This window comes from Homo sapiens, chromosome X, assembly GCF_000001405.40.
Source record: "Homo sapiens chromosome X, GRCh38.p14 Primary Assembly".
Lineage (NCBI taxonomy): Eukaryota > Metazoa > Chordata > Mammalia > Primates > Hominidae > Homo > Homo sapiens.
Window position 1 is genome coordinate 71,263,163 of NC_000023.11, and position 12,389 is coordinate 71,275,551.

Consider the following 12,389-nt stretch of genomic DNA (forward strand, 5'->3'; position numbering starts at 1 on the left):
ATTCTAAAGTACCCAGTGGGGGCTGGGCATGGTGGCTCACACCTGTAATCCTTGCTCTTTGGGCCGCTGAGGCGGGCGGATTGCCTGAGCTCAGGAGTTCGAGACCAGCCTGGGCATCGTGGTGAAACCCCGTCTCTACTAAAACTACAAAAATTAGTCCAGGTGTGGTGGCTCACGCCTGTAATCCCAGCACTTTGGGAGGCCGAGGCAGGCAGATCATGAGGTCAGGAGATGGAGACCATCCTGGCTAACATGTGAAACCCCGTCTCTACTAAAAATACAAAAAAATTAGCCGGGCGTGGTGGCGGGCACCTGTAGTCCCAGCTACTCAGAAGGCTGAGGCAGGAGAATGGCGTGAACCCAGGAGGCAGAGCTTGCAGTGAGCCGAGATCGCACCACTGCACTCCAGCCTGAGCAATAGAGCAAGACTCTGTCTCCAAAAAAAAAAAAAAAAATACAAAAATTAGTTGGGCATGGTGGCGCTTGCCCGTAGTCCCAGCTACTTGGGAAGCTGAGGCAGGAGAATTGGTTGAACCCAAGAGGCGGCGGTTGCAGTGTGCTGAGATCACGCCACTGCACTCCAGCCTGGGCAACAGAGCAAGACTCTTGTCTCAAAAAAAAAAAAAAAGGATAAATAAAATGATGAAATGTAATGAAAAGATACTTCATTCTCCTTATCATCAGTAAGTTCAATGGTGGTAGTCAGGCTTCATGGTGTGCTTCTAACTATACTCCACTCATTAACGTTTACTCTGTACTGTTTCAAACATCTCTCCCAACTTTGGAGGCAACATTTCCTAGCTTATTCCCAGAAAGTCTACTGATTTTCCTGGAGATTTTGTGGGTCCCAATGTCCCTACAGGATTTTCTGCTATGGCACTGTCCCTTGGGAAATCAAGTTAGGTTAATATTATTTCTTCAATTCATACTTATGGTTATTTACTTAAAATAAAAGCTTTATTGAGATAGAATTCATATACCATGCAACTTGCCCATTTAAAGTATACAATTCTGCCAGCACAGTGGCTCATGCCTGTAATCCCAGCACTTTGGCCAAGGCAGGAGGATCACTTGAGCCCAGGAGTTCGAGACCATCCTGGCCAACATAGGGAGACCTCATCTCTATTTAAAAAACAAAAAAAATGCTGGGCTTGGTGGCTCACATGTGTAATCCCAGCACTTTGGGAGGCCAAGGTGGGCGGATCACTTGAGGTCAGTGTCAGGCCTCTGAGCCCAAGCTAAGCCATCATATCCCCTGTGACCTGCACGTATACATCCATATGGCCTGAAGCAACTGAAGATCCACAAAAGAAGTGAAAATAGCCAATTCCTGCCTTAACTGATGACATCCCACCATTCCTGCCCCACCCTAACTAATCAATTGACTTTGTGACAATACTACCTCCCCGCCCTTGTGATAATGTACTTTGTGATATTCCCCCACCCTTGTGAATGTACTTTGTACGATATACCCTCCCCACCCTTGAGAAGGTACTTTGTAATATGCTCCCCTGCCCTTAAGAAGGTACTTTGTAATATTCTCCCCACCCTTGAGAATATACTTTGTAAGATCCACCCCCTACCTGCAAAAAATTGCTCCTAACTCCACTGCCTATCCCAAACCTATAAGAACTAATGATAATCCCACCACCCTTTGCTGACTCCTTTTTCCGACTCAGCCCACCTGCACCCAGGTGAAATAAACAGCCTTGTTGCTCACACAAAGCGTGTTGCTGGACTCTCTTCACATGGACGTGCGTGACATTTGGTGCCGAAACCTGGGACAGGAGGACTCCTTCGGGAGACCAGTCCCCTGTCCTCACCCTCTGTGAGGAGATCCACCTATGACCTCAGGTCCTCAGACCAACTAACCCAAGGAACATCTCACCAAATTCAAATCGGGTAAGCGGTCTTTTCACTCTCTTCTCCAACCTCTCTCGCTATCCCTCCACCCTTCAATCTCTCCCTTCCTTAATTTCGGTTCCTTTCCCTTTCTGGTAGAGACAGGAGATGCGTTTTATCCATGAACTCAAAACTCCGGCGCCGGTCACGGACTCGGGAAGACAGTCTTCCCTTGGTGTTTAATCACTGCGGGGATGCCTGCCTGATTATTCACCCACATTTCAGAGGTGTCTGATCACTGCAGGGATGCCTGCCTTGATCCTCCACCTTGGTGGCAAGCACCACCTCCCCTGGGTGGCAAGTACCACCCCCCCACTCTGTGTCTCTACCCTCTCTTTTCTCTCGGCTTGCTGCCTTCACTATGGGCAACCTTCCACCCTCCATTCCTCCTTCTTCTCCCTTAGCCTGTGTTCTTAAAAACTTAAAACCTCTTCAACTCACACCTGACCTAAAACCTAAATGCCTTATTTTATGCTGCAATACTGCTTGACCCCAATACAAACTCAGCAACGGTTCCAAATAGCCAGAAAACAGCACTTTCGATTTCTCCATCCCACAAGATCTAGATAATGCTTGTCGTAATATGGGCAAATGGTCTGAGGTGTCTGATGTCCAGGCATTCTTTTGCACATCAGTCCCTCCCTAGTCTCTGCTCCCAATGCGACTCGTCCCAAATCTTTCTTTTTTCTCTCCTGTCTGTTCCTTCAGTCTCCACCCCAAGCTCTGAGTCCTTTGAATCCTCCTTTTCTACAAACCCGTCTGACCTCTCCCCTCCTCCCCAGGCTGCTCCTTGCCAGGCCGAGCCAGGTCCCAATTCTCCCTCAGCCTCCACTCCTCTACCCTATAACCCTTCTGTCACCTCCCCTCCTCACACCCAGTCCAGCTTACAGTTTTGTTCCGCTACTAGCCCTCCCCCATCTGCCCAAAAATCTCCTCTTAGAGAGGTGACTGGAGCTGAAGGCATAGTCAAGGTTAATGCTTCTTTTTCTTTATCTGACCTCTCCCAAATCAGTTAGGGTTTAGGCTCTTTTTCATTAAATATAAAAACCCAGCCCAGTCCATGGCCCGTTTGGCAACAACCCTTAGACAGTTTACCACCCTAGACCCAGAGGGGCCAGAAGGCCGTATTATTCTTGATATACATTTTATTACCCAATCTGCTCCCCCAACATTAGAAAAAGCTCCAAAAATTAGATTCTGGCCCTCAAACCCCACAACGGGACTTAATTAACCTCGCCTTCAAGGTGTACAATAATAGAAAAGAGTTGCAATTACTTGCCTCCACTGTGAGAAAAACCCAAGCCACATCTCCGGTACATAAGAACTTCAAAATGCCTGAAACGCAGCGGCCAGGAGTTCCTCCAGGACTTCCTCCCCCAGAATCTTGCTTCATGTGCTGAAAACCTGGCCACTGGACCAAGGAATGCCAGCAGACTGGGATTTCTCCTAAGCCATGTCCCATCTGTGCAGGACCCCACTGGAAATCAGACTGTCCAACTTGCCTGGCAGCCACTCCTAGAGTCCCTGGAACTCTGGCCCAAGGCTGTCTGACTGACTTCTTTCCAGATCTTCTCGGCTTAGCGGCTGAAGACTGACGCTGTCCGATCGCCTCAAAAACCTCCTGGACCATCCCGGATGCTTTGGGTAACTCTTACAGTGGAGGGTAAGTTCGTCCCCTTCTTAATCAATACAGAGGCTACCCACTCCACATTACCTTCTTTTCAAGGGCCTGTTTCCCTTGCCTCCATAACTGTTGTGGGTAGTGACAGCCAGGCTTCTAAACCTCTTAAAACTCCCCAACTCTGGTGCCAACTTGGACAACATTTTTTTTTTTTTTTGAGATGGAGTCTTGGTCTGTTGCCCAGGCTGGAGTGCAGTGGCGTGATCTCAGCGCACTGCAAGCTCTGCCTCCCGGGTTCACACCATTCTCTTGCCTCAGCATCCCGTGTAGCTGGGACTACAGGCATCTGCCACCGCGCCCGGCTAATTTTTTGTATTTTTAGTAGAGACGGGGGTTTCACTGTGTTAGCCAGGATGGTCTCGATCTCCTGACCTCGTGATCCACCTGCCTTGGCCTCCCAAAGTGCTGGGATTACAGGCGTGAGCCACTGCGCCCAGCTGACAACATTCTTTTATGCACTCTTTTTAGTTATCCCCACCTGCCCAGTTCCCTTATTAGGTCGAGGCATTTTAACTAAATTACCTGCTTCCCTGACTATTCCCAGGCTACAGCCACACTTCATTGCAGCCCTTTTCCCCAGTTCAAAGCCTCCTTCGCATCCTCCCCTTGTATCTCCTCACCTTAATCCACAAGTATGGAACACCTCTACTCCCTCCTTGGTGACCTATCATGCACCCCTTACCATTCCATTAAAACCTAATCACCCTTACCCCACTCAATGCCAATATCCCATCCCACAGCATGCTTTAAAAGGATTAAAGCCTGTTATCATTCGCCTGCTACAGCATGGCCTTCTAAAGCCTATAAACTCTCCTTACAATTCCCCCATTTTACCTGTCCAAAAACCAGACAAGTCTTACAGGTTAGTTCAGGATCTGCATCTTATCAACCAAATTGTCTTGCCTATTCACCCCGTGGTTCTAAACCCATATACTCTCCTATCCTCAGTACTTCCCTCCACAACTCCTCCACAACCCATTATTCTGTTCTAGATCTCAAACTTGCTTTATTTACTATTAATTTGCACCCTTCATCCCAGCCTCTCTTCGCTTTCACTTGGACTGACCCTGACACCCATCAGTCTCGGCAACTTACCTAGAGTGTACTGCCGCAAGGCTTCATGGACAGTCCCCATTACTTCAGTCAAGCTCTTTCTCATAATTTACTTTCTTTCCATCCATCTGCTTCTCAACTTATTAAATATTTTGATGACCTTCTACTTTATAGCCCCTCCTACAAATCTTCCCAACAGAACACCCTCCTGCTCCTCCAACATCTATTCTCAAAAGGACATCGCACATCCCCCTCCAAAGCTCAAATTTCTTCCCCATCTGTTACCTACCTGGGCATAATTCTTCATGAAAACTTCCGTGTTCTCCCTGCCAATCATGTCCAGCTGATCTCTCAAACCCCAACCCCTTCTACAGAACAACAACTCCTTTCCTTCCTAGGCAGGATTGGATACTTTCACCTTTGGATACCTGGTTTTGCCATCCTGACTAAACTCACAAAAGGAAACCTAGCTGACCCCGTAGATCCTAAATCCTTTCCCCACTCCTCTTTCCATTCCTTAAAAACAGCCTGAGAAGCTGCTCCCACACTAGCTCTCCCTAACTCATCCCAACCTTTTTTCATTAGACACAGCCAAAGTGCAGGGCTGTGCAGTTGGAATTCTTACACAAGAGCCAGGACAATGCCCTGTAGCCTTTCTGTCCAAACAACTTGACCTTACTGTTTTAGGCTGGCCCCCACATTATTCCTGATACCACACCTGACCCCCATGACTGTATCTCTCTGATCCACCTGGCATTCACTGCATTTCCCCATATTTCCTTCTTTCCTGTCCCTCACCCTGATCACACTTGGTTTATTGATGGTAGTTCTTCCAGGCCCAATCACCAATCACCATCAAAGGCAGGCTATGCTATAGTGTCTTCCACATCTATCACTGAGACTACTGCTCTGCCCCCCTCCACTACCTCTCAGCAAGCCAAACTCATTGCCTTAACTCAGGCCCTCACTCTTGCAAAGGGACTACATGTCAATATTTATACTGACTCTAAATATGTCTTCCATATCCTGCACCACCATGCTGTTATATGGGCTGAAAGAGGTTTCCTTGCTATGCAGGGGTCCTCCATCATTAATGCCTCTTTAATAAAAACTCTTCTCAAGGCCACTTTACTTCCAAAGGAAGCTAGAGTCATTCACTGCAAAGGCCATCAAAGGGCCTCAGACCCCATTGCTCAAGGCAACAATTATGCTGATAAGACAGCTAAAGAAGCAGCCAGTATACCTACTTCTGTCCCTCACTGCCAGGTTTTCTCTTTCTCATCAGTCACTCCTACTTACTCTCCCACTGAAGTTTCCACCTATCAATCCCTCCCCACTCAAGGCAAATGGTTCTTGGACCAAGGAAAATACCTCCTTCCAGCCTCACAGGCCCATTCTATTCTGTCGTCATTTCATAACCTCCTCCATGTAGGTTACAAGCCGCTAACCTGTCTCTTAGAACCTCTCATTTCCTTTCCATCGTGCAAATCTATTCTCAAGGAAATCACTTCTCAGTATTCCATCTGCTATTCTACTACTCCTCAGGGATATCTCAGGCCCCCTCCCTTTCCTACACATCAAGCTCAGGGATTTGCCCCTGCCCAGGACTGGCAAATTGACTTTACTCACATGCCCTGAGTCAGGAAACTAAAATACCTCTTTGTCTGGGTAGACACTTTCACTGGATGGGTAGAGGCCTTTCCCACAGGGTCTGAGAAGGCCACCACAGTCATTTCTTCCCTTCTGTCAGACATAATTCCTTGGTTTGGCCTTCCCACCTCTATACAGTCCAATAACGGACCGGCCTTTTCTTTTTTCCTCCAATTTAAAACCTTTAATTGAAAAGTAAACTTTAATATCGAAAATGCAAACATGGGGAAGGCAGAAAGATCACACACACAAGGCTGTCACTTCACACTTGGAGGGTTGCACAGTGGCCAGGCAGAGGCACTCCTCACTTCCCAGATGGTGGGCAGCCAGGCAGAGGTGCTCCTCACTTCCCAGTCAGTTGGGTGGCCGGGCAGATGGGCTCCTAGCTTCCCAGAAGGTTGGCGGCCAGGAAGAGGTGCTCCTCTCTTCCCAGACAGGGCGGCGACCAGAGAGAGGCACTCCTCACTTGCCAGACAGCGTGGTAGCCAGGCAGAGGCGCTCCTCACATCCCAGACGGTGGGGGTGGGGAGCCTGGGCAGAGGCGCTCCTCATTTGCTAGACAGGGCGGCAGCCGGGCAGAGGTGCTCCTCACTTTCCAGATGGGTGGCAGCTGGGCGGCAGCTGGGCAGAGGTGCTCCTCACTTCCCAGACAGTGGGGCAGCCAGGCAGAGGTGCTCCGCCCTTCCCAGATGGTGGGCAGCCGGGCAGAGGCGCTTCTCACATCCTAGACAGGGCGGTGGCTGGTCAGAGGCACTCCTCACTTCCCAGATGGCGGGCAGCTGGGCAGAGGTGCTTCTCATATCCCAGACGGTGGGCAGCCCGGACCGGCCTTTATTAGTCAAATCAACCAAGCAGTTTGCCAGGCTCTTGGTATTCAGTGGAACCTTCATACCCCTTACCATCCTCAATCTTCAGGAAAGGTAGAACAGACTAATGGTCTTCTAAAGACACACCTCACCAAACTCAGCCTTCAACTTAAAAAGGACTGGACAGTACTTTCACTACTTGCCCTTCTCAGAATTCAGGCCTGTCCTCGGGATGCTGCAGGGTGCAGCCCATTTGAGCTCCTGTATGGATGCTCCTTTTTATTAGGCCCCAGTCTCATTCTAGACACCAGCCCTCTAGTTGATTATCTTCCAGTCCTCCAGCAGACTAGACAGGAAATTCGCCAGGCTGCTAATCTTCTCTTGCCTACTCCAGATTCCCAGCCATATGAAGACACCCTAGCTGGACGATCAGTTCTTGTTAAGAATCTGACCCCTTAAACTCTACAACCTTGATGGACTGGACCCTACTTAGTCATCTATAGTACCCCAACTGCCGTCCACCTGCAGGACCCTCCCCTTGGGTTCACTGTTCCAGAATAAAGCTGTGTCCGTTGGACAGCCTGATCTCTCCTCTTCCTCCTGGAAGTTGCAAGTACTCTCCTCTACTTCCCTTAAACTCACATTTCTGAAGAACAGTAATAACCCTGATAAGCCTAATACATCCTTTCATTTTTATTAGGTCTCTTCTTCCTTACCCTACTCTTTACAATAGGGCTTTACGCAGTCACCCCCCACTAATTGGACTGCACCACAAAAACTTGTCATCCCTACTATCTTCTGGCTAGTCATACTCCTATTCACCATTCTAAACTACTCGTAAATGCCCTGCCCTTGTTTACACTGCCAGTTTACACTTTTCCTCCAAACCATCGTAGCGGATATCTCCTGGTACTATCCCCAATCCTCCACTCTTGACTCCCTCTTGGAGTGGATGGATGATCTTTGCTGACAGGGCACACTCCAATACTTCCACCCTGATGAAGTCCTATTCTTTACTTTTATACTCACTTTTTTTTTTTTTTTTGAGATGGAGTCTCGCTCTGTTGCCCAGGCTGGAGTGCAGTGGTGCGATCTCGGCTCACTGCAAGCTCTGCCTCCCGGGTTCATGCCATTCTCCTGCCTGAGCCTCCTGAGTAGCTGGGACTATAGGCGCCTGCCACCACGCCTGGCTAATTCTTTGTATTTTTTTAGTAGAGATGGGGTTTCATCATGTTAGCCAAGATGGTCTTGATCTCCTGACCTCGTGATCCACCCACCTCAGCCTCCCAAAGTGCTGGGATTACAGGCATGAGCCACCGCGCCCAGCCTACTTTTATACTCACTTATTCTCATTCCTGTTCTTATGCCACCCTCTACTCTCCCCAGCTATCTCTACCACACTATCAATATCACTCACTCTCTCCTAGCCGTTTCTAATCCTTCTTTAACAAACAATTGCTGGCTTTGCCTTTCTCTTTCCTCCAAAATCACCGAGGCCTCGACTTACTCATTGCTAAAAAAAGGGGACTCTGTATATTTTTAAATGAAGAGTGTTGTTTTTACCTAAATCAATCTGGCCTGGTGTATGACAACATAAAAAAACTCAAGGATAGAGCCCAAAAACTCACCAACCAAGCAAATAATTACACTGAACCCCCTTGGGCACTCTCTAATTGGATGTCCTGGGTCCTCCCAATTCTTAGTCCTTTAATACCTGTTTTTCGCCTTCTCTTATTCAGACCTTGTGTCTTCCGTTCAGTTTCTCAGTTCATACAAAATTGCATCCAGGCCATCACCAATCATTCTATATGACAAATGCTCCTTCCAACAATCCCACAATATCACCCCTTACCCCAAAATCTTTCTTCAGTTTAATCTCTCCCACTCTAGGTTCCCATGCCACCCCTAATCCCATTCGAAGCAGCCCTGAGAAACATTGCCCATTATCTCTCCATACCACCCCCAAAAAACGTTCGCCACCCCAACACTTCAACACCATTTTGTTGTGTTTTTCTTATTAATATAAGAAGACAGGAATGTCAGGCCTCTGAGCCCAACTAAGCCATCATATCCCCTGTGACCTGCACGTATACATCCATATGGCCTGAAGCAACTGAAGATCCACAAAAGAAGTGAAAATAGCCAATTCCTGCCTTAACTGATGACATTCCACCATTCCTGCCCCACCCTAACTGATCAATTGACTTTGTGACAATACACCCTCCCCGCCCTTGTGATAATGTACTTTGTGATATTCCCCCACCCTTGTGAATGTACTTTGTACAATACACCCTCCCCACCCTTGAGAAGGTACTTTGTAATATGCTCCCCCACCCTTAAGAAGGTACTTTGTAATGTTCTCCCCACCCTTTGTACTTTGTAAGATCCACCCCCTGCCTGCAAAAAATTGCTCCTAACTCCACTGCCTATCCCAAACCTATAAGAACTAATGATAATCCCACCACCCTTTGCTGACTGCCTTTTGGACTCAGCTTGCCTACACCCAGGTGAAATAAACAGCCTTGTTGCTCACACAAAGCCTGTTTGTGGACTCTCTTCACACAGACGCATGTGACAGTCAAGAGTTTGAGACTAGCCTGGCCAACACGGTGAAACCCCCTCTCTACTAAAATACAAAAATTAGCCGGGCGTAGTGGCATGTGCCTGTAATCCCAGCTACCTGGGAGGCTGAGGCAGGAGAATCACTGGAACCTGGGAGGCAGGGGCTGCAGTGAGCCAGGGTCGCACCACTGCACTCCAGCCTCAGAGACAGAGCAAGACTCCAGCCTCAGTGACAGAGCAAGACTCCATCTCAAAAAAAAAAAAAAAAAAAAACAAGAGAGAGAGAAAATATATAATTTTTCTTGGGATGACAGTAATAGTACTAACATGATCATATTAACTTTTCAGGCCAGGTGCGGTGGCTCACGCCTGTAATCCCAGCACTTTGGGAGTCCGAAGTGGGCAGATCACGAGGTCAATAGATTGAGACCATCCTGGCTAACACGGTGAAACCCCATCTCTACTAAAAATACAGAAAATTAGCCGGGCGTGGTGGCAGACGCCTGTATTCCCAGCTACTCTGGAGGTTGAGGCAGGAGAATCTCTTGAACCTAGGAGGCGGAGGTTGCAGTGAGCTGAGATCACGCCACTGCACCCCAGCCTGGGCAGCCTGGGTGACAGAGTGAGACTCCTTCTCAAAAAAAAAAAAAAAAAAAAAAAAAGCCGGGCACGGTGGCTCACGCCTGTAATCCCATCACTTCGGGAGGCCGAGGTGGGTGGGTGGCTTGAAACCAGGAGTTCAAAACCAGCCTGGCCAACATGGTGTAACCCCGTCTCTACAAAAAATACAAAAATCAGCCAGGTGTGGTCGTGCATGCCTGTAATCCCGGCTACTTGGGAGGCTGGGGCAGAGAATCACTTGAACCTGGTAGGCGGAGGTTGCAGTTAGCAATTGTGCCACTGCACTCCAGCCTGGGTGACAGAGCAAGATTCTGCCTCAAAAAAAACCGGGCTGGGCACAGTGGCTCACGCCTGTAATCTCAGCACTTTGAGAGGCCGAGGTGGGCAAATCATGAGGTCAGGAGTTCAAGACCAGCCTGGCTAACATGGTGAAACCCCTGTCTACAAAAATACAAAAAAAAAAAAAAAAAAAATTAGCTGGGCATGGTGGCTCGCGCCTGTAGTCCCAGCTTCTCGGAGGGCTGAGGTAGGAAAGTCACTTGAACCCGGGAGGCAGAGGTTGCCGTGAGCCGAGATGGCACCACTGCACTCCAGCCAGGTGACAGAGCGAGACTCCATCTCAAAAAAGAAAAAAAAATCACCTGAGAAGAGGATAATATTTATTTTAGAAAAAAGAAATTAAAAAATAGGCCAGGTGCAGTGGCTTACACCTGTAATCCCAGCACGTTGGGAGGCCAAGGCAGGCGGCTCACGAGGTCAGGAGTTCGAGACCAGCCTGACCAACATCGTGAAACCCCATCTCTACTAAAAATACAAAAATTAGCCAGGTGTGGTGGCCTGCACCTGTAATCCCAGCTACTCAGGAGGCTGAGGCAGGAGAATTGCTTGAACCCAGGAGCCACAGGTTGCAGTGAGCCAAGATCATGCCATTGCACTCCAGCCTGGGCGACAGCGAGACTCCATCTCAAAAAAAAAGAAATTAAAAAATAATAACGTGTACAATTCAGTGGATTTTAGTATATTCACAGATATGTTTAACCATTACCAGTCAATGCTACATTTTCATTACCTCAGAAAGAAGCCCTGTACCCTTTAGCTATCACCCCCATTTCCCATCCTCCCAGCCTTTTTCTTTTCTTTTTTGTTTTTTGTTTGTTTGTTTTGCCAATTGGGAAGTCTTTCGAGTCACAGTAGGCTCAGATACTTATTTTTATTTATTTTTAAAATTTCACGTATTTATTTATTTTCCTCCCAGCCTTAAACAACCACCATGCTACTTTCTATCTCCATAGATTTGCTTATTTGGGACATTTCATATAAATAGAATCATATAATATGTGGTCTTTTGTGGTTGCCTTTGTTCACTTAGCATATTTTCAAGGTTCATCCACATTGTAGACTGTACCATTAGTTCATTCTTTTTGTGGCTGAATTATAGTGCATTGTATGGATAGACCATATTTTATTTATGCATTTATCAGTTGTACATCTGGGTTGTTTCCACCTTTTGGCTATTATTAATAATGCTGCTATAAACATTTGTGTACAAGTTTTTGTGTGAACATATATTTTCAGTTTTCTTGGGTAGACAACTGAGAGTGGAAATGCTGGGTCACATGCTATATTTAATTGTTTGAGGAACCGCCAGACTGTCTTCCAAAATAGCTGTACCATTTTACATTCCCACTAGGAAGGTTTCAATTTCTTCACATCCTCATCCACACTTGTTATTATCTGACTTTGATTCTAGCCATCCTAGTGGTTGTGAAGTAGTATCTCATTGTAGGTTTGATTTGCATTTCTCTGATGACTAATAATGTTGAGCATCTTTTCATGTACCTTGAACCTTTTGTATATCTTCCTTGGAGAAATGTATATTTAAAATTTTGTCCATTTTTGAATTGGGCTAGTTGTCTTTTTTTTTGAGATGGAGTTTCACTCGTCACCCAGGCTGGAGTGCAATGGCGCAATCTTGGCTCACCGCAACCTCCACCTCCCAGGTTTGAGCGATTCTCCTGCCTCAGCCTCCCAAGTAGCTGGGACTACAGGTGCACGCCACCATGCCCGGCTAATTTTTGTGTTTTTAGTAGAGACGGGGTTTCACCATGTTGGCC

General features: G+C 47.4%; 1 long non-coding RNA gene across 3 annotated transcripts in view; it reads left to right on the plus strand.

Moving 5' to 3' along the window:
* The window catches only part of LOC105373247 (uncharacterized), a 17,985-nt gene extending 8,355 nt beyond the window's left edge, over positions 1–9,630 (plus strand). Inside the window, exons 2-4 of one of the 3 annotated variants that reach the window (XR_938433.2) lie at positions 1,680–1,902; positions 3,373–3,565; positions 9,120–9,630. This is a non-coding gene — a long non-coding RNA (uncharacterized LOC105373247). The remainder of the gene's footprint in view (positions 1–1,679; positions 1,903–3,372; positions 3,566–9,119) is intronic. The other 2 variants (XR_938432.2, XR_938434.2) reach the window with 2 other exon arrangements.
* The last annotated feature ends 2,759 nt before the right edge of the window (positions 9,631–12,389 follow it).